The 23,285-nt window shown below is 40.5% G+C and overlaps 1 protein-coding gene across 3 annotated transcripts in view, besides 2 other annotated features; it reads right to left on the reverse strand.

Moving 5' to 3' along the window:
- Positions 1–23,285, reverse strand: part of RNF130 (ring finger protein 130) — a 160,109-nt gene that overhangs the window by 72,533 nt on the left and 64,291 nt on the right. The gene's annotated exons all lie outside the window — the stretch shown is intronic.
- Positions 3,340–3,874: an enhancer, noted in NCBI's record as "OCT4-NANOG hESC enhancer chr5:179414523-179415057 (GRCh37/hg19 assembly coordinates)". NCBI's record gives its function as "activates a minimal SCP1, AML or CMV promoter by ChIP-STARR-seq in primed H9 embryonic stem cells {active_cell/tissue: H9 hESC(primed)}" and the evidence as "EXISTENCE:reporter gene assay evidence [ECO:0000049][PMID:30033119]".
- Positions 17,521–17,728: a silencer, noted in NCBI's record as "fragment chr5:179428704-179428911 (GRCh37/hg19 assembly coordinates)". NCBI's record gives its function as "represses an EF-1alpha promoter that drives an FKBP-Casp9 reporter gene in an ReSE screen in K562 erythroleukemia cells {active_cell/tissue: K562}" and the evidence as "EXISTENCE:reporter gene assay evidence [ECO:0000049][PMID:32094911]".

Below are 23,285 nucleotides of genomic sequence, written 5' to 3' on the forward strand. Positions count from 1 at the left end.
TCTACACGAAATTTCTACAGAAAATAATGTTGTCTGTAAATGAAGACAGCTTACTTCTCCATTTCCACAATGGATGTCTTTTACGTCTTTTCCTTTTTACTTACTGTGCTGGCTAGAATCTAAAGAACAACGCAGAAACAGAAGTGATCAGAGGACACATTCTTCTCTTGTTCCTAATGTTAGAAAAAAGAATTTAGTCGTTCACCATTAAATATAATGGTGGCTGTCAGTTTTTCATAGATGCCCTAATAGTTTGAGGAAAGTTTAAAAATCAGGAATCGATGTTGGACTTCGGCAAATATCTTTTCTCCATCTATTGAGATCATACAGTTTTAGCTTTTTTGGCCTGCTAATATGGTAATAATACATTAATTTTTGAATGTTAAATGAAACTTATATTCCTGGAGTAAACATCACCTGGTCATGATGAATTTATATATATTGTTAAATATAATTTGCTAAATTTTTTAGAATTTGTGCATCTATGTTCAAGAGGGGTCCTGGTCTGTAGTTTTGTTTTGTAGTAGTTCTGTCTAGTTTTGGTATTAGGAATGATACTGGTGCCATACAATGAAATTGGAGGTATTCCTGCCTTTTCCATATAAGTTAAGCATTTGAAATTAAAATCTGAAATGCTCCTAAGTATGAAACATTTCCAGTGCCAACATGAAACTCAATGGAAATGCTCACTAGAGCATTTTGCATTTCAGAATTTTGGATTTGGTATGCTCAAACGGTAAGTATAATGCAAATATTCCAGAATCTGAAAAATTTCTGGTCCAAAGCATTTTGGATAAAGGGTACTCAACCTATAGTTTGTTTGATATTGTTATCATAGCTGCCCCTTGAACAACATGGAAACACCCATTTCCATCAAGTCATCTCCTATTAATTTAATTACTCTGGTGTAGTATCTATTTGCTCTTGAATTTCTTCAACATCCTCATCTTGAAACCCTTTACCCCCTAACTTTTTTTTTTTTTTTTTTTTTTGCCATATCCACAATCTGTTTCATGATTTCCTTGACTGGCTCTATCATAAATCCTGTGAAATCATGTACTACGTCTGGACACAGTTTTCTCCCATAGAAATCTTTTGTTTAGACTTTCATGGCATTTCCTATAATAATAATGACATCTTCAACAGTGCCATCTTTCCAGACTTTTGTGATGTTTTATCTGGATTCTATTCTACAGCATTAAATGCTTTACATAGCATACTGTGCATACTAAGCCGTAAGGGTCCTTAGGACCCCCTGCTCTAGAGGTTGAATTAGAGGCATGTCTGGGGTCAAGAAGGCCACTCTGAAGCCTTCAGTATTGAATTCATGGGGTTCTGGGTGGCCAGGGGCATTATCCAATATCAAAAAAACGTTAAAAGGCAGTCCTACCCTGGCAAGGTACTTCCTAATTTCAGGGACAAAGCACTGATAAAACCAATTCAGAGGGTTCCCACTATTCGGTCCTCCCTGTTTTGCAATTAAAAACCGGCAGATGGTATTTATAATTTCCCTTCCAGGCTGGTGTTTAGTAGCTTTATCAATAAGGGCAGTCTTGATCATAGACCTGACTGCATTTGCACAAAACAAATGCCTGAAGTCTTAATTCTCTCTTCTCTACCTTACTAATAAATGTCCTTTGTGGCACTTTCCCCCCAAATAGGGCACTTTCATCAATATTAAAAATCCGTTCACAAAAATAACCTTTCTCCTCAATGATTTTCTTAATGAAATCTGGGAACCTGACTTGACTGCTACTTCTTGATCGTCAAAAGCTACTTCTCCTGTTATCTTGTCATTTTTAAAGCCAAATCTCTTTCTAAACTTTTCAAACTAACGTTTGCTGCCATTAAATTCTCCAGTGCTATATCCTTTGCTTTCCTTTTAAGTTGTCATATAATGACTTTTCTTTTCCTCAAATCACATTGGATACTACAGGTATGCCTTCCTTATAGAAATCCTGCACCCACATAAAGGCTGCAAAAGGTATTTAGCAAAAAGTATAAAGTTTTTGTGCCTGTTGGTGTAGCTATAGCAATGGCTTCATGAATAGATTTTTCTGTCCTTTTATGTGTTTTACAATGATATGCTAAGTCATTCTTTGTGAAATGGCAGCACCTGCAGCTGAAGACCTCTATCTATGGTACAAATCAAGCAATACAACTTTTTCTTGTAACGTCATGACTTCTCTCCGCTTCTTGGGAGCATTTCCAGCAGCACTATGGCACTTCATACAGGTCCCATGGTGTAATATTCAAGATTCATGATACTGCACTAAACACATTGAAAACTATGTGAGAACCACAAGAGGTCACTTTTACTGCAATAATCAACCTAATGGAGGGACGAACTACTCATAAGCGTATGTCACATGACATTTCAAGTGGACACTGGCAACACTGGTGATCACAATAGCAACAGGTGGCTATGAAATTATTACATTAATACAGTACGTACTACTGTTAATTTTATGCGGTTATGATTTAACATGGTTTACATTTCTTCCAACTGTGAATGGTGCCATGTATTTGTTTTAATAATTTTTAACTTTTTACAATGGATTTTTGTATATTTTATGATAGTAAATGATCAAATAGACTAGTATCTACATGTATTTTATACATGATGACATATATTTCTCCATTTTTCTGTGATCTCTTCAATTTCTTTCATCAGTATTTGAGAATATTGGTTAAATTTATTATTCTTATGTATTTTATTTTTATGTGACTATTGCAAATAGGACTGCTTTCTTGATTTCCTTATTACCCAGTTTGTTACTGGTGTACAGAAATGATACTAACTTTTGTACACAAACTTTGTATTCTCCAACTTTACTGAATTTATCAGGTTTATGAGTTTTTGGTGAACTCTTTGTTTTTTTTCTACATATGGTCACATAACCTGAAAAGGGAGACAACTAACATTCTCTTTATGATATGGATGCCCCTTCCTCCCTTCCTCCTTTCCTTCCTTCCTTTCTTTCTTCTATTTTTTTTCTTAGAGACAGGGTCCCTGCTCTGTCACCCAGGCTGGAGTGTAGTGGTGTGATCATGGCTCACTGCAGCCTGGACCTCCTGGGCTCAATCCATCCTCCTGCCTCAGCCTCCTGAATACCTGGGACTATAGGCACACACCACCACACCTGGCTAATTTCTATATTTCTTGTGGAGAAAGGGGTCTCCCCACATTGCCCAGGCTGGTCTTGAACTACTTGGCTCAAGTGATCCGCCTACCTTGGTCTCCCAAAGTGCTGCGATTACAGGTGTGAGCCACCGAGCTTGGCCACCTTTTATTTCTATGTTCTGACTGCTCCGGCTATGACTTCCAGCACTATGTGGAACAGAGGGGGTGGTAGGTAGAAGTGGGCATCCTTGTCTTGAACCAGTTCTTAAAGGAAAGTCTTTCAGCTTTTCCTAATCAATATGATGTTAGCTGTGGGTCATGTGTATCTTTCACTATATTGAAGTATGTTACTTCTATACCTAATTTGCAAAGAGTGTTGAATTTTATCAAACGCCTTTTCTGTGTCTATTGAGAATCTGGTATTTGTTGTTCCTTTATTCTGTTGATGTGAAACATCATGACTATTGACTTGCAAATGCCAAAACATCCTTCTATCCCCGGGACAAATCCCACGTTATATTGCTGTATTATCTTTTTGATGTGTTGTTGGATTCACTTTGCTTCGTACTGGGTTGAGGCTTTTTGTGTCTATGTTCAAGGACATTGGCCTGCCATTTTCTTATTTCGTTGTGCCCTTGTCTGGTTTTAATATTGGAATAATTTGGGTCTGGTAGAATGAGTTAGAAAGAATTCTCTCTTCTTTCATTTTTTGAAATAGTTTCAGAAGAACTGACGTTAATTCTCCTTTATAAATTTGATAGGATTTGGCAGTAAAGCCATCTGGTCCTGAGTTTTTGTTGAGGGATCATTACTATTTATTGTTCTGTTCATGTTTTCTATTTCTTCTTGGTTCAATGTTGGTAGGTTGTATGTGGCTAGGAATGTATCCATTTTCTCTAGGTTTTCCAGTATGTTAGTGTATAATTCTTCACAAACCTCTAATGATCCTTTGTATTTTGTTGGTTTCAGTTGTAATGTCTCCTTTTTCACTTCTGATTTTATTTGAGGCTTCTTTTAGCCATTTATCTATTGAAAAACCAAATTTCATTGTGTTGATCCTTTGTATTGTGTTTTTAGTCTCTGTTTCATTTAGTTCTATGCTGATCTTTATTATTTCTTTCATTCTACCAATTTTGGGTTTGGTTTATTCTTGCTTTTCCAGTTCCTTGAGGTGCATAACTGGGCTCTTCATTTGAAATATTTCTAATTGTCTGATTTAGGCATTCATTGCTATAAACACTTCCCTCTTAGCACTGCTTTTGCTGTATCTTGTAGGTTTTGGTATGTTTTATTTCCATTTTCATTTATTTCAAGAACTTAAGAAATATCTCTTAATATATTCATCAACCTTATGGCAGTGATCATGTTGTTTAGTTTCCACGTAGATACTGTTTCCAAAGTTCCTCTGGTTATTGAGTTTTATTCCACTGTGTTCTAAGATGCATGATATGATTTCTATTTTTAAAAATTTGTTGAGACTTGTTTTGTGGTCTAATATATAGTGTTTCTAAACAATGTTCCATATGTTGAGGAAAATGTGTATTCTGCAGCAATTTGATACAGTGTTCTGTAAATGTCTGTTACGTCCATTTGGTATATAGTACAGTTCAAATCCAAGTATTCTGTTAATTTCTGTCCAGATGATCTGTCCAATGTTGACAGCGGGTGTATTAGTCCGTTTTTATGCTGCTATGAGGAAATACCCCAGACTGGGTAATTTATAAAGAAAAGAGGTTTAATCAACTCAGTTCCGCATGGCTAAGAAGGCCTCAGGAAACTTACAATCATAGCAGAAGGCACCTCTTCACAGGGCAGCAGGAGAGAGAATGAGTGCCAGCAGGAGAAACGCCAGACGCTTATAAAACTATCCCATCAGATCTTGTGAGAACTCACTCTCTATCACGAGAACAACATGGAGTTAACCACCCTCATGATTCAGTTACCTCCCACTGGGTCCCTCACATGACACATGGGGATTATGGGAACTATAATTCAAGATGAGATTTGGGTGGCGACACAGCCAAATCGTATCAGCCGGATACTGAATTTCCCAACCATTATTGTATTGGAGTGTATCTATCCCTTGAGGCCTAGTAATATTAGCTTTACTTATTTATGGGTGCTATGGTGTTGGGTGTATAAATATTTTGAATTGTCATATCCTCCTGCAGAATTGATCCCTTCACTATTATCTATTTACGTTTTTTAATTTTTATTTTTTACATAACGTCTGTTTTATCTGGCATAAGAATAGCTATTCTTACTGCTTTTGCTTTCTGTTTGTGTAGCATGTTTTTCTCTACCCCTTCACTTTCAGTCGATCTGTGTGTCTAGGTATCACACAGTTGTGTCATTTAAAAAAATCTATTCAGTCAGGCTGTATCTTTTAAGCGGAGCATTTGATCCATTTAGGTTCAAGGTTAACATTGATATATGACATCTTGTTACTGAAATATATTGTTATCTAGCTGTTTTGTAAATTCTTTGTTTTATTTTTTCTTCTGTCTTTGTGGTTTCATGGAGTTCTATCATGGTGCCATTTGATTCCTTTCTCTTCTTCGTGTAATTGTTTTATGAGACTTATTAATTTTATACTTTCATGTGTTTTTATGATGGCAAATATCAACCTTTTGTTTCCATGTCTGGGACTCCTTTGAGCCTCTACTATAGTATTAGTCCAGTGGTGATGAATTCTCTTAGTGTTTGCTTGTAGGGTCCAGCCCCACGGGGTTGGTGGGTTTTTCTCCCCATGTGTGGAGACGAGAGATTGCAGAAATAAAGACACAAGACAAAGAGATAAAAGAAAAGATAGCTGGGCCCGGGGGACCACTACCACCAAGATGCGGAGACCAGTAGTGGCCCCGAATGCCTGGCTGCACTGTTATTTATTGGATACAAAGTAAAAGGGGCAGGGTAAAGAGTTTGAGTCACCTCCAGTGACTGATAAGGTCACGTGAGTCACATGTCCACTGGACAGGGGGCCCTTCCCTGTTAGGTAGCCGAGGCGGAGAGAGAGAGGACAGCTTACGTCATCATTTCTTCTATGCTCTTTTCAGAAAGATCAAAGACTTTAACACTTTCACTAATTTTGCTATTGCTATCTAGAGGGCGGAGCCAGGTGTACAGGATGGAACATGAGAGCGGACCAGGGGCGTGACCGCTGAAGCACAGCATCACAGGGAGATGGTTAGGCCTCCAGATAACTGCGGGTGGGCCTGACATCAGTCGGGCCTTCCACAAGAGGTGGTGGAGCAGAGTCTTCTCTAAACTCCCCCAGGGAAAGGGAGACTCCCTTTCCTGGTCTGCTAAGTAGCGGGTACATTTCCTTGGCACTGACAGCTACCGCTAGACCATGGTCCGCTTGGTAATGGGCGTCTTCCCAGACACTGGCGTTACCGCTAGACCAAGGAGCCCTCTGGTGGCCCTGTCTGGGCGTGACAGAGGGCTCACACTCTTGTCTTCTGGTCACTTCTCACCATGCCCCTTCAGCTACTATCTCTGTATGGCCTGGTTTTTCCTAGGTTATAATTGTAGAGTAAGGATTACTATAATATTGGAATAAAGAGTAATTGCTACAAACTAATGATTAATGATATTCATATATAATCATATCTATGATTTACATCTAGTATAATTCTTGTTATTTTATAATATTGGAATAGCTCGTGCCCTCGGTCTCTTGCCTCGGCACCTGGGTGGCTTGTTGCCCACATTTGCTTGTCTGAGAAAGACCCGTTTTCTCCTTCACTTACGAAGTTTATTCTAGCTGGATGAAAATTTTTCTCCTTTTAGCACTTTGAAAATAGCATCCCATTCTCTTCTGGCTTGTGTAGTGTATCTTTCCCTATCTGCTGAGAAAGTCTGTTGTTTGTCTGATGGAGCTTCCCTTATAGATGACTAGGTGCTTTTCTCTTGTTGATTTTAGAATTTTTTCCTTCACACTGACTTTAAGCAATCTGATGACTATATGTCATGGTGAAGTCTTTAAGCAATCTGATGACTATATGTCATGGTGAAGTCCTTTTGCAATGTATTTGCCTGTTAATCTTTCTGCCTCTTGTATCTGAATGACTAGATGTCTTGCTAAACGAGTTAAGTTGTTTTCATCAATTATTTCCTTAAGTAAGTTTTCTAAACTCCTTGCTGTTTTCTTCTTCCTCTGAAACACCAATGATTCAGTTTAGTTGCTTTATATAGTCCATGCTTCTTGGAGGCCTTGTTCTTTTGAAGTTTTTCTTTTCTGTATTTCTGTGCGACCAGATTCATCCAAAACACTTGTCGTCAAGTTGTGGGATGTTTTTCTTCCACTTGATCTAGATCAGTGGCCCCCAACCTTTTTGGCACCAGTGACTGGTTTTGTGGAAGACAATTTTTCCACAGACTGGCGGGTAGGGGATGGTTTCAGGATGATTCAAGCACATTACATTTATTGTGCCCTTTATTTCTATTATTATTAAATTGTAATATATAATGAAATAATTATACAAATCACCATAACGTAGAATCAGTAGGAGCCCTGAGCTTGTTCTCCTGCAAGCAGATGGTCCCATCTGGGAGAGATGGGAGACAGTGAGAGATTAGGCATTAGATTCTCATGAGGAGCACTCAACCTAGATGCTTTGCATGTACAGTTCACAGTAGGCTTCACACTCCTATGAGAACCTAATGCCACCCCTGATCTGAGAGGAGGAGCAGCTCAGGAAGTAATGCTAGCAATGGGGAGCGACTGTAAATACAAATGAAGCTTCAGTCACTCACCTGATGCTCAGCTCCTGCTGTGTGTCCTGTATCCATGGTCTAGATCATTGTTGGGAACTCCTGATGTAAATCATTGTTTTTTGCTTTTTGTTTTGAGATGGAGTCTTGCTCTTTTGCCCAGGCTGGAGTGCAGTGGCACGATCTCGGCTCACTGTAAACTCTGCCTCCCGAGTTCACGCCATTCTCCTGCCTCAGCCTCCCGAGTAGCTGGGACTACAGGCACCCGCCACCATGCCCGGCTAATTTTTTGTATTTTTAGTAGAGACGGGGTTTCACCATGTTAGCCAGGATGAGTCTCGATCTCCTGACCTCGTGATCCACCCACCTCATCCTCCCAAAGTGCTGGGATTACAGGCGTGAGCCACCACGCCCGGCCCTAAATCATTGTTAAAGCTTTCAAATGTATCTTGCAATTCCTTCAATGAGTATTTCATTTCCAGGAGTTGTCTGTTTTTAAAATAAAAAACTTATCTTACTTGACATTTTGAGGATTTAAGGATCCATTGTTGGAGAATTACTGTGTTTTTTTGGGGGGGTGTCATATTATCTTTTTCATACTTCCTATAGTATTATATTGACTTCTTCACATCTGCACAAATAGTTGCTTGTCCTTATTTTTAAATTTTAGTTGAAGTGGGATTATTTTTTATTTTTTATGGTTTATTTATTATTATTATACTTTAAGTTCTAGGGTACATGTGCACAACGTGCAGGTTTGTTACATATGTATACATGTGCCATGTTGGTGTGCTGCACCCATTAACTCATCATTTACATTAGGTATATCTCCTAATGCTATCCCTCCCTCTTCCCCCCAACCCATGACAGGCCCCAGTGTGTGATGTTCCCCATCCTGTGTCCAAGTGTTCTCATTGTTCAATTCCCACCTATGAGTGAGAACATGTGGTGTTTGGTTTTCTGTCCTTGCAATAGTTTGCTGAGAATGATGGTTTCCAGCTTCATCCATGTCCCTAAAAAGGACATGAACACATCCTTTTTTATGGCTGCATAGTATTCCATGGTGTATATGTGCCACATTTTCTTAATCCAGTCTATCGTTGTTGGACATTTGGGTTGGTTCCAAGTCTTTGCTACTGTGAATAGTGACGCAATAAACATACGTGTGCATGTGTCTTTATAGCAGCACGATTTATAGTCCTTTGGTATATACCCAGTAATGGGATGGCTGGGTCAAATGGTATTTCTAGTTCTAGATCCTTGAGGAATCACCACACTGTCTTCCACAATGGTTGAACTAGTTTACAGTCCCACCAACAGTGTAGAAGTGTTCCTATTTCTCCACATCCTCTCCAGCACCTGTTGTTTCCTAACTTTTTAACAATCACCATTCTAACTGGTGTGAGATGGTATCTCATTGTGGTTTTGATTTGCATTTCTCTGATGGCCAGTGATGATGAGCATTTTTTCATGTGTCTGTTGGCTGCATAAATGTCTTCTTTTGAGAAGTGTCTGTCTGTATCCTTTGCCCACTTTTTGATGGGGTTGTTTGATTTTTTTCTTGCAAATTTGTTTAAGTTCTTTGTAGATTCTGGATATTAGCCCTTTGTCAGATGGGTAGATTGCAAAAATTTTCTCCCATTCTGTAGGTTGCCTGTTCACTCTATTGGTAGTTTCTTTAGCTGTGCAGAAGCTCTTTAGTTTAATTAGATCCCATTTGTCAATTTTGGCTTTTGTGGCCATTGCTTTTGGTGTTTTAGACATGAAGTCCTTGCCCATGCCTATGTCCTGAATGGTATTGCCTAGGTTTTCTTTTAGGGTTTTTATGGTTTTAAGTCTAACATTTAAGTCTTTAATCCATCTTGAATTAATTTTTGTATAAGGTGTAAGGAAGGGATCCAGTTTCAGCTTTCTACATATGGCTAGCCAGTTTTCCCAGCGTCATTTCTTAAATAGGGAATCCTTTCCCCATTTCTTGTTTTTGTCAGCTTTGTCAAAGATCCGATAGTTGTAGATGTGTGGTATTATTTCTGAGGGCTCTGTTCTGTTCCATTGGTCTATATCTCTGTTTTGGTACCAGTACCATGCTGTTCTGGTTACTGTAGCCTTGTAGTATAGTTTGAAGTCAGGTAGCATGACGCCTCCAGTTTTGTTCTTTTGGCTTATGCGGGCTCTTTTTTGGTTCCATATGAACTTTAAAGTAGTTTTTTTCCAATTCTATGAAGAAAGTCATTGGTAGCTTGATGGGGATGGCATTGAATCTATAAATTACCTTGGGCAGTATGGCCATTTTCACAATATTGATTCTTCCTATCCATGAGCATGGAATGTTCTTCCATTTGTTTGTGTCCTCTTTTATTTCGTTGAGCAGTGGTTTGTAGTTCTTCTTGAAGAGGTCCTTCATCCCTTGTAAGTTGGATTCCTATGTATTTTACTCTCTTTGAAGCAATTGTGAATGGGAGTTCTGGAGTGGACTTTTTTTAATCCTGAGGATGTTACTATGATGTAATTTGAGTAGGATTGTTTGACTTTGCTTCTGAGTGTGTTCAGTAGCAAATATTCTAGGATTTCCTTGGATATAAACAGCCTTAGTGTGGTGGCTTTCTCAAATGCTGGTTACAGTAGTGGTGTATCGGGTGGGTGAGCTGGCTCATAACCTCCTGAGAAGCTGGGGTGGCATGAGCAATGGTGGTAAAAGAAGTCATGAGAAGCTTTTCTTATTCCCAAGTGCTGTGCACTTATGTAAGCAGATGTTGTAATGGGCTGTGTGGGTCAACCTCCAGGCCAGCAGGTGGTAGTTGCAGGTCACAGCTGGCTACAGTTCTAACAGTAGGGTTTACGACTTATCTTTGTTAACCAAGAGAAGTACTTAAGTGTCCCACGCAATGGGTTGGGCCAGGGAAAGCTCAGTGGTTTGGGTCTTACACTCAGCCTTGGGGGAGGGGAGGGGACTGGTGGGGAGAGGTGAAGCTGGGTAGAGCTGGACTGGGCAAGACAGCCATTTGGTCCCCCAGTAGCAGGCAGAAGCACTGGCTCTGACAGGGATCTAGGGACAGTTGCCAAACCCTGTAGAAATGCCTAGGCAAAGATGAGAGCAACTGACATTGCATCAATGTCCCAGCACAGGAAGGCAAGGGCAAACCCATTGTTAAAACCAGGCAAACAGTATGGGACCTGCCTCTCTCTCTCTCTCCAGAACCATCAGGACTCATTTCCTCATCCCAACCACAGGAATCAGACAGACCATATATCTGCCTTCAGCCTGCAAATTTGCTATTGGGTCCAAAACCACACCTCTCAGGCAAATCTCCTGCTCCAGTCCCATGATGGGGGTGCAGGGGTCCAATTCTAGTGCCCAAAGCTGGAGGCCCAAGCTGTACTCATTTATCATTTCTGGCTGTGTGGGCCCCTTTCCTACCAAAGACCCAGTGTTCCAATCCTGGCATGAGACTTTATAATGCTAACAGATGCTGCTTCTGCTGCTGCTGCTAGGCCACAGGATTCCCACACAGTTTGCTATGAGCTAGGACTGAGACTGGAGTCCTCTTATCAGCCACCAGGTCTGGGAAAATGCATGGGATGCATCCCAGGTTGTTCCTTCTCAATGTCTCTCAGCTACTCCCTAAGTAAGATCCAGGGCTTGGGAAGCTCAAGGTGCTCTCCTGTGGCCTGGATTGCACACTTCCCCAGTGGGAAGATGGACTGCAGAGGAACACTGACTCCCCATCTCCTGTATTGGGGATTTTCTGTTTTTAGCCAGACTCTGCCAGGAGGGCTGTCTCCCAAATTTCTCTTTCCCAGTGTCTGAAATGTTCTGTTCAATTCCTGTATTCCTTCTTGGATAAAAGTTAATGATGTGACTATCTGCACACTATTTTGCTTTTTCCAAGTGGGTTAGGCATGCTGGAAAAGCCTCTAATCTGCTGTCTTTGGGGGAAAAACCCATACAAAGATTGTGTTTTCTATTTCTGTGAATAATATCACTGGCATTTTGATAGGGATTACATTCAATCTGCAGGTCACTTCTGATAGTACTGTCATTTTCACAATATTAATTATTCCTATCCATGAACATGGGATGTCTGTTTTTGTTTCCTCTTCAATTTCTGTCATCAGTGTTTTAGTTTTCCTTGCAGACGTTTCACCTCTTTGACTAAATTTATTCCTATGTATTTTATTCTTTTTTGGTGGCTATTGTAAATAAGATGGACTTCTTGATTTATTTTTCAGTGAGTTAATTGTTGGTGTATATACACAGAACTGATTTCTGTATGTTAATTTTGTATTCTGCAACTTTACTTATCAGTCCTAAAAGGACTTCCAGTAATAACATGTTAAATAGAAGTGGTGAAAGTGGGCATCCTGTGTTTTTCCACATCTTAGTGGAAACGTTTTCAGCTTTTCCACGTTCAGTATGATGTTGGTTGTGGGTAAGTCATATATGGCCTTTATTGTGTTGAAGTATGTTCTTTCTATACCTAACTTGTTAAGAGTTCATATCATGAAGCCACTTATCAAATGCTTTTTCTGCATCTACTGGCATTACCACATGGTTTTTGTTCTTCATTCTGTTGATGTGATGCATCGCATTTATGGATTTGCATATGTTGAACCATTCTTGCATCCCTGGGATAAATCCCACTTTTTCATCATGAATGCTCTTTTCAATGTGTTGCTGGATTCAGTTTGCTAGTATTTCGTTGGGGATTTAAAAATTTATGTTCATCAAGGATACTTGTCTATATTTTTCTTTATTTTGTTGTATCCTCATGTGGTATTGCTATTAGGGTAATGCTGGCCTTGTGGATTGAGTTCAGAAGAGTTCCCTTCTCTTCAGTTTTCTGGAGGAGTATGAGAAGAATTGGTATTAGCTCTTCTTTAAATGTTTGGCAGAATTCTGCAGTGAAGGAATCAAGTGCTGGACTTTTCTTTAATGGGAGACTTTTAATTACAGATTCACTTTAATTACTCATAACTGGTCTGTTTGATCAGGTTTTCTATTTCCTCTTGAATCTATGTTGGTATATGTGTCTGGGAAAATTTACTAGTGGTTGTCAATTTTATTTTTTCAAATCTTTTTATTTCACTGATCATTTGTATTGTTTTTTAGTCTTTTTTAAAATTTTATTTCTTTTGGAGACAGGGTCTTGCTCTGTTGCCCAGGCTGGAGTGCAGTGGCGTGATCTTGGCTCACTGCAACCTCTGCCTCCTGGGCTCAAGTGATTCTTCCATCTCAGCCTCCTGAGTAGCTGGGATTACAGGTGCACACCAACACGCCTGGCTTATGTTTTATTTATTTATTTATATTATATTTTTTTGAGATGGAGTCTCGCTCTGTCACCCAGGCTGGAGCGCACTGGCGCAATCTCGGCTCACTGCAACCTCCGCCTCCCAGGTTCAAGCCATTCTCCTGCCTCAGCCTCCCGAGTAGCTGGGACTACAGACTCCCACCACCACACCCGGCTAATTTATTTATTATTATTTTTAGTAGAGACGGGGTTTCACCGTGTTAGCCAGGATGGTCTTGATCTCCTGACCTCGTGATCTGCCTGCTTCGGTCTCCCAAAGTGCTGGGATTACAGGTGTGAGCCACCGCGAGTGGCCTTATGTTTGTATTTTTATTTGTAGAGATGGGGTTTTGCCATGTTACCCAGGCTAGTCTTGAACTCCTGGACTCAAGCAATCAGTCTACCTTGGCCTCCCAAAGTGCTGGGATTATAAGCATGAGCCACCATGCCTGGCCCTTTAGTCTTGATTTCACTTATTCCTGATTTGAACTTCATTATTTTTTTTTGCTTCTTCTGACTTTGGGTTTGCTTTGTTTTCACTTGTTTTTTGAGACAGAGTCTTGCTCTGTCACCAGACTGGAGTACAGTGGTGTGATCTCGGCTCACTGCAACCTTTGCCTCCTGGGTTCAAGCAATTCTCCTGCCTCAGCCTCCCGAGTAGCTGAGACTACAGGTGCGCGCCACCACACCCAGGTAATTTTTGTATTTTTAGTAGAGACGGGGTTTCACCATGTTGGCCAGGATGGTCTTGATCTCTTGACCTCGTGATCCGCCACCTTGGCCTCCCAAAGTGCTGCGATTAGAGGCGTGAGCCACTGTGCTTGGCCTGTTTTTGCTTTTATAGTTCCTTGAGATGCTTCATTAGATTGTTTATTGCAAATCTCTATTGTTTTGATGTAGGTGTTAATTGCTATGAACTTCCTTCTTCAAACTGCTTTTGCTGTATCCCATAGGTTTTGGTATTTTCTTTTCATTTTACTGAAGAAATTTTAAAGTCTCCTTCCTAATTTACTCATTGACCCACTGGTTGTTTAGGAGCACGTTTGTAAATTTCCATGTATTTGTACAATTCCAAAAGTTTCTATTGTTACTGATTTCTATCTTTATTTCATTTGTGGTCAGAAAAGATCCTTTGTATGATTTTAATTTTTAAAAAGTTCTTAAAACTAAGAAACGCCATCTCACTATATTGCCCAGGCTGGTCTTGAACTCTTGGACTCATGAGATCCTTTCTGCCTCACCTTCCCAAGTAGCTGGGACTACATGCAAGCAAAACTGTGCCTAGCTGATATCAAATCTTGTTTTGTGGCTTAACATGTGGCCAATCTTGAAGAATATTCTACTGGTGATGAAAACAATGTGTGTTTTGCAGCTGTTGGATGAAATATATTGTAAATGTGTTACTTCCATTTGGTCTAAAGTGCAGTTTAAACCCAATGTTTCTTTATTTTCTGTCTAGATGATCTGTCTAATGCTAAGAGTGGGGTGTTGAATTCCCCAACTATTACTGTATTAGAGTTTATCTCTCTCTTTAGATCTAGTATTTTTTATATATATATATATATATATATATGTTTTATATATCTGAGTGCTCCAGTGTTGGGTGTATATATATTTACAATGATTATATCCTCTTGCTGAACTGATCTCTTTATCATTATATTATGATCTTCTTTGTCTTTTATTTTTCAATATTTTATTTTATTTTGTTATTATTTTTTCTTTTTTTGAGATGGAATATCGCTTTGTCACCCAGGCTGGAGTGCAGTGGTGTGATCTCAACTCACTGCAGCCTCTGCCTTGCAGGTTCAAGCGATTCTCTGCCTCAGACTCCCGAGTAGCTGGGATTACAGGTGTGTATCACCATGCCGGGCTGATTTTTGTATTTTTAGTAGAGACAGGGTTTCACCATGTTGGCCAGGCTGGTCTCAAACTCCTGGCCTCAAGTGATCACCTGCCTCGGCCTCCCGAAGTGCTGGGATTACAAGCGTGAGCCACCACGCCTGGCCTGTTTTATCTGATACAAGTACAGCCACTCCTGCTTAGTTTTTATTTCCCTTTGCATGGAATATCTTTTTTGCACCCCTTCATTTTTAGCCTATATGTGCCTTTAGAAGTGAAGTGAGTTGGCCGGCCATGGTGGCTTACGCCTGTAATCCCAGCACTTTGGGAAACCAAGACGGGCGGATCACCTGAGGTCAGGATTTCGAGATCAGCCTGGCCAACACGGTGAAACCCTGTCTCTACTAAAAATACAAAAATTAGCCGGGCTTGGTGGTAGGCACCTGTAATCTATTCAGGAGGCTGAGGCAGGAGAGTTGTTTGAACCCGGGAGGCGAAGGTTGCAGTGAGCCAAGATTGCACCACTGCACTCCAGCCTAGGCGAGCAAGCGAGACTCCGTCTCAAAAAAAGGAAAAAAGAAAAAAAAGAAGTGAAGTGAGTTTCTTGTAGGTAGCATATAATTGTGTCACGGTTTTTAAAAATTTCATTTCACCAGTTTATGTCTTTTAAGTGGTGAAATTTAATCTGCTTACATTCAAGGTTATTACTGGTAGGTGAGGACTTATTCCTATCAATTTTTAATTGCCTCTGGTTGTTTTATATATCCTTTGTTATTTTTGTTCTCTCCTATTGTTTATCATTAAGGTTTGGCGGTTTACTGTAGTGCTAAGATTTGATTCCCTTCTCTTTCTCCTTTGTGTATCTGCTCTCTACCAGTGACTTTCATACTCCTGCATGTTTTCCTGGTAGTGAATACTGTCTTTTCAAAATGTAAAACTCTCTCAAGATGTATAACTTTCTCAATTTTTGTCTAGGAAAGACTATTTCACCCCCATTTCTGAAGGATGGCTTTGATGGACACAGTATTCTTTCTTGGCTGGCAATTTTCTGCTTTAAGCACTTTAATTCTATCATTCCATTCTCTCCTAGGCTGTAAGATTTCTCTGGAAAAATCTGTTTTTAGTCTAATAGGGATTCTCTTATGTGACTTGATGCTGTTCTCTTGCTGTTTTGTGAACTCTTTCACTCTCGACAATTTGACTGTAATGTGACACGGGGAGGATGTTTTCAGATTTACTCTTATTTAGGAACCACTGGGCTACCTGGATCTGTTGTCCATATATCTCCGTAGACTTGGGAAGTTTTCAGATTTTATCACATAGATTTTTTAATGCCTTTCCCCTTCTCTCCTTCTGGAACACCCATAATACAAATATTTGTTTGCCTAATGTTCCATAAGTTTTGTAGGCGTTCTTCATTATTTTTCATTCTTATTTCTTTTTTTTTGTCTCTGACTTGTTAATTTCAAATAACCTATCTTCAAGTTGAGAGATTCTTTCTTACATATGATCAAGTTTGCTGCTGAAATTCTCCACTGTATGTTTTTTCATTCATTGAATTCTTCAGCTGCAGGATTTGATTCTTACTTCTCTTTTATTCAATTTCCTGTTTATATTGTGAACTGTTTCCCCAACTCTATTGATTGTCTACACGTTTTCTTGTATCTCTCTGAGTTTCCATACGATCATAATTTTGAATTCCTTTTCTGGCAATTCATTAAGTTTTTTCCCATTGGAGTGTGTTACTAGGGAATTACGTTCCTTTGATGGTGTCCTACTTCCTTATTTCATGTTTCTCACGTCCCTGTGTTGATGTCTGTGCATCTGGTGGAACAATCACTTCTTTCAAATTTTCTAGAGTGGCTCTCCTGGACAAAGATTTTCGCCTACAGTTTAATCTTAGTGTGCCAGTTGGGAAGGGTGTGGTGACTATTTCTGGATAGGTGCAGTGGTACAGTCTCTGTGCAGTTTCAGCTGAATTCAACATCAGCAATAACCATGGGTGCCTCAGTGGTATAAGCTGTGGATGTCTGCTGCAGTGGTGTAGGCTGTTATCCTTTCAAAGGCCTTTGGGGACCTACTATTCTTGCTTTCCCCACAATGAGGAGACTTAGCCAAAGTGATCCCTCTTGGTGTGAGGTCTGATGTTACCCACAAGCAGCTGCAGCAGCACTGGATTCCAGGAGCAGGTGCTCAGAATGACAATGGGACCATGTCCTAGGCTCAGAGTCTCACAAATGTATTTGTGGCACCTGTGGCAAAGTGGGATATGTTACCCACATGGTCAGGATCTGTGACTGTCAGGTACCCACTGGTAGCTTGGACCTAAGAGTCTACTTTGTAGCTGTGATTCTATCCCTGGGAATTAGGGCATAACACTGGCCTGACTAGGTAGAAGGGGCATTCTGGAAGTTTGGGTCAAGGGTCTGGCTGCAATTCAGGAACATGAGTCAGCAGGGCTCAGTGGCAACTTAGGTCCCATGGAATGAAGCACCATACAGTATTGACTATAGACCCTGGGATGGCAGGGCTCAGCAGTATCTTAGATCTGTGAAGTCCAGTGCAATGACAGCAAGTATCCTAGCTTAGGGGAGCAGAGCTGTTGTGTGGACCCAGCATGGGAGGGGAGGATAGCACAGTGATAATTCCACTCTCCAAGAGGAAGGTTATCTAAGCAGCTGAGCTTCTTGAAGACTAGTACAGGTTCAAGCAAGCAGGGTACTAGAGTTCTACGGCCTGTAAGGGCAAGGTGTCTCAGCTCAGTCACCGCTCTATTTCTCTGGGACATGGTGTACTATATCAGCTCATCCCTGGCATGCACAACTGCTCAGTCTGGCCAAGGCACCAACTCCCCAAAGGATAATGTGCTGCTTCAGCTCAGGCCCAGGGAGCATACTCTTTTGGGTGGGCCAGGCACCATTTCCCTGTGATGCTGGGAGCTGCTTCAGCTTAGGTACTGGGATGTGTGATCACTCTGGATGGCCAATGCACCACTTCCTGGGAGGCGTGGCGCTGCTTCAACTGAGACACTGGGGAGGCATGATTGCTCTGAGTGTTCAAGGTACTGTTTTCCCAAAAGGCAGGATACTGCTTCAGCTCCAGTCCAAAGCAGCTGGGGGAAGAACAGGTGGAGCAGCTCCATCTCTGCTGGCCCCCGAGGAACAGAGCCAACAGTTGCTCCCAGCTCAGCCTGGAGATGTGGGGCCACTGTGCTGGGGTGGTTTGGTGGCAGCTTAGCCTTAGGGACAAAGGGGAGCCATGACTACTCACCCCTGGAGCAAGACACACTTCAGTCACAGCTCCAATTCCAAGATGGTATAGCACAGCAGCTGTGTGGGCCACAGGGATTGAGGCACAGTGTCAGCTCCTTCTCTGTGGGGTGCATAGCCGGGTGGACTCAGCTGGGCTTAGTGCCTGTGAGGACTGGTGGGAACCCTGGTGGTGAGGTCTGTAGGTATCCACAGTGTTGAAGGGGCTGCTGGGATCCTCTCACTTACCTCCTCACCACAGTGAGCTCTTCCTGGTTCCCAGCTGATCCTGGTTAGAGGATGGGACAGTGGAGGCCCAGTGTTTCCTTCCCATCTCTATGTGGCTATCTCAAACGTCTGTGCTCTCCAGAGCTTCTGTCATTCCTCGGATGCACCCCTGTACTCTCCCTCTGTTATTTTCATTAAGTTGTTTATTTATTGTTCAGGCTTTTTTTGCAAGGAGGACAAGTTCTAAGGATTTCTAATGGGTCATTTTCCTAAGGTAACTCAGATCTGGGTTGTTATTATTATTATTATTAAGGAATTTGAGGAGATTTTACAAGAATCTCATTGCTTCCATTCTGTTCAGATCAGAATTCTACCAAAGAGTTCTGAACAGAAAAGTTCCTGATGCTATTTGAGGCTTGGAGAATTAAAATCTTGCCTCCACAGGATGTCCAGGTAGGGTCTCTAATATTTCAGAGACAAGAAGGGCCTGAATTAGGCAAGCAGCAGTAGGTAAAGAAAGAAGAGCGCAAAGTCAAGAAAGATTTAGCAGGTAAAACCGACAGAACCTCATGACTGACATGGAGGCACGAAGAGGGGGGTTTGAGGAGAGGTGCCCCCAGACTTCTGGCTCGGTGATGAGCCGTGTGAGAGCGCCTGCCATCACACTGCATTATGGAATAGCCAAAAGCAGAGAGCAGGTGCTGGTGGAAGCAGTCCAGTCTTCAGCAAGCTGACGTGAATGCATGTAGGTTATCTAATCAGAGACCTACAAATATTTAGGTAGATCATATTTTCCACCTCTGAACTTTGAACACCTCTTATAGCACAAGGACAAAATATCTCTTCTCTGTGTTAGGTATTAATGTCAATACCTTCACTGTAATTTTTCTTTGGACTTGGCTTCAGTATTACTACCTTCTTCTGAATTATCCTTTGAGTTTTTAATCAGTCCTTTAACATTTCCCATCACTTTGCGACAGGTAAACCTGTGACAGGTATAAGTGTCTATGTATGTGTGTACAATTTGATCTCTTCCTGGAATCTGTCTAAAAGCCACTATTTTTTTAAAATTTTTCATTCTAAGTCTATTTGCATCCGGCTAACTCTCAAGTACCTACGATGAGGTACAAAATTCTTCCATGAAGATCACTTTTTATTAAAGTCTCTTACCTTCACCTAAACACCATGCCATTAAGTCACTGTTTTTCAAGGTGTGGTCCATGGGGCAGATGCATTAAATCTACCTTGAATGCTTAGTAATATATAATAATAAAATCTATACTAACTAAGGTTTATTCGGTACATACCATGTGCTAGGTACTGTTCTAAGCCCTTCACAAGTACTGACTCGTGTTATCGTCACAATCATTTTATGAGAAAAGAACTATAATATCCCATTTTACAGAAGAGGAGATTGAGGCAGAGATTAAATAATTTGCCCACATCAAAGGCTAGTAAGTAGGCCCTATCCAGACTTGCTGAATTAAGGGGAGGAACGATCTTGGAAATTTGCAATTTTAAAAAGTGCTCCAGCCCCTAAAAGGAGCTCTCACATGATTCTTTTGTATACTAAAGTTTGAGACTCACTAAATGAAGTACAAACCCTGGTTTCAAAGCATTTTCCCGTAATACGCTACCCACTCACTGATATTCTCCGTACTTCACACTGTGCCCTATTCCTTTAATAATAAAACTCCTCAAATTTACACCTCATCACACACAGAATGTTAGAAATGACAAAACCACAGAAAGGCATCATTTTACAAAGGAGAAAAACCAAGCCCCAGAAAGAGATGAGGAGATCTGTCTGAAGTTACTAAAAGTATTCGGACTAGGACCATAGATCTCCTTTCCACTTCAGTTCTTCCTCCACTATAAAATGCTGAAAAGACTTTCTATAGCATACAGCTTGAGGGGTTTGTTAGGGGCCAGATTATCTTATCTCATCTGGTCAAAGCTGCAACAATAAACACCATTCTATATTTGAAAGCAAAGTGACAAAATGTTTGAATTGGCAGAAAACAAGTTAAAACAATTCTTACGGCTTAATCTAATAGGAATAGTTGGTTCAAAGCCAAATGGTTCAGAGTATATTGAGGATAGGTCACTTTGATGAAATTCATCTCAGGTTTTGCCATTCGGCAATCAGAACTCTCTCACAGAATTAGAGTAAGTCTGTATCTGCACAGAGTAGGGTTTTCTTTTTGTAAACACTGGTGAAATCTAGGTATAAAATCTTTCCCCAATGCAAAGTGCCTTGTAGTCTGCACCCTCCTTCATTCATTCACCACCATTTTTTCCCATTTTTTTTTCTCAAAAGAAGCCTCTGTTAACTCTTTTGCAAGACACCATCTGCCTGTGCCCAGATCACTCCTCTCCTCTCTACATAACCTTATTTTATTAATATCATCTTCCTTTGCTCTTCAATATTTCCTCTTTTCATAGCTCCTTCTCCCTAAGTCTCTCGCACCAGAAAAGAATTGTATATCACTCCACTGCTAAAAAACCGTACTGATGGCCCGGCGTGGTGGCTCGTGCCTGTAATCCCAGCACTTTGGGAGGCCGAGGCGGGTGGATCACCTATGGTCAGGAGTTTGAAACCAGCCTGGCCAACATGGCGAAACCCCGTCTCTACTAAAAATACAAAAATTAGTCGGGCCTGGTGGTGGGCACCTGTAATTCCAGCTACTCAGGAGGCTGAGGCAGGAGAATGGTCTGAACCTGGGAGGCGGAGCTTGCAGTGAGCTGTTAATCGAGCCACTGTACTCCAGCCTGGGCGACAGAACAAGCCTCTGTCTCAGAAAAACAACAACAACAACACCAACAGAAACCATATTGATTATAGAATAAAGCCTAACTTTCTTATGTGATTCATGCCCTTCATAGTCTAGTGACAATTTATTCATCTAATATCAGCTCAACACTCACAAGTCTCCTGCCCACTATTCCTGATGTTTCAGTCATTCAACTCTTTCATCTCTCTGTGGAAAATGATCCATTTGCCTGACTCTCCTTCATCTCCATCTGATGAAGTCTTAATTCATCCTTTAAAATTCAGCTCCAAGGTCACAACCTACCTTCTCTGTGAAGTGTCCTTGACTCCCTGAGAGTAATATCACTCTGCCCCCAAAGAATAACTCCTATACCACACAGTATTTTGACTGCATCTGTCATTGCAACAGAAGGTAAGCTCATTCTTGAATTCATTGAAATATTTACTGAGGCAGTGTGATGTGCCAGGCCCCATGCTAAACCCCAAGGATATAGAAATGAATTATCTTGCAAACACTATGATCTTAAGAGCATATTTTGTGCTTTAAAAAAATCAGATCTTAAGCCCCTGACATGTAATATTTAGAAGGTATATAATACAGTCTCTGTATATGAAAAGTGTTATTTATTTACAAAATGGCAGGACATGAAAAACAAGGTATCAGAGTATTTGCAGTATTTTTTTAAAACTGGTAAGATAATAACTTCTCAGCTCAAACATCTATTTCCCCTTTCCAGTTCTTCTGGAATTGTTAATCCTTAAGAAACATAATGAACAAAATTCACTCTGCCATCTAAAATGACAAAAGAAGTCTGTTTTGGGGCCATATAATCCTTTTCTGTAGGACAAATCTTGGCAGTATATACAATACTTCCTCTCTTCCAATGTGGAAGAAAAAAAAAAACCTTTTGAACCCACCAGTTTTCAAAGATTAACTGTACTCATGCAAAGTTTTAACCTTTCTCTGACACAGGAATGTTCCATATATTTCCACATTCTGACAGGCAAATGCATTCTCCAATTAGCTACTGACCTTTCATGATGAAAATGGGCAATAAGAGTGTATTTCATTTCAGCAACCCTGAGATACTTATAAAGTCAAAGAATATTATATACACATGTTATGGCAAGAAGCTTTTACAAATTTTAAATACCTTAAAAAGCACATGCATTTTCACTGGGAAGTTTTAAGAATACATTCTAAATATTCAGGAGTCCATTAAGTGGCAGAATATTTTACATCTGCCCCGTTCCTAAACAGTAAAATGAAAATTTCATTGTTCTGCTTTAGAAATTAAATTTGACCACTTTGAAATTAAAGGTGCAATATTAACCATGTAACTGTTAAACATTTTACATTTTTCAGAAAATCCTTAAGCATTTATTCAAAATAAAGGTAACAAACATCTACCGTTTTGTGTAAAATAACTATCAGTGACTTAATTTGACAGCGACATTTAAGTTTACCATCAGTGGTAGTTTGAACTATCTACACCTATAGATAGTAATTAGATACATTCTGACAGTTTTCCAGGAAGAGCAAACCACAGACACTTAGTCATGAACTGAAAAGCCAAAGCATTAGATTCTTATATCACATGCAAAATGTTCTCAATTGTGAGCATTTTACTATGCTTAGAAAGTTATTTACAATATATGGATCTCTTTGGTAGCATGTTCTACAGGAAGAACTGCTTCATGATAACAGTTTGTGGGGGCCAGGTGTGGAGGTTCATGCCTGTCATTCCAGCACTTTGGGAGGCTGAGGCAGGAGGATCACATGAGGTAAGGAGTTTGAGACCAGCCTGGCCAACATGGTGAAATCCCATCTCTACTAAAAATACAAAAATTAGCCAGGCATGGTGACACACATCTTTAGTCCCAGCTACGTGTGAGGCTGAGGCAGGAGAATTGCTTAAGCCGAGGAGGCAGAGGTTGCAGTGAGCCAAGATCGCGCCACTGCACTCCAGCCTGGGTGACAGAGTGAGACCCAGTCTCAAAAAACAAAAACAAAAACAGTTTGTGAGAGAAAATCAGAGTCTGTCCTTAAACTCACTGGTTTTCCT

This window comes from Homo sapiens, chromosome 5 (genome assembly GCF_000001405.40).
Source record: "Homo sapiens chromosome 5, GRCh38.p14 Primary Assembly".
NCBI lineage: Eukaryota > Metazoa > Chordata > Mammalia > Primates > Hominidae > Homo > Homo sapiens.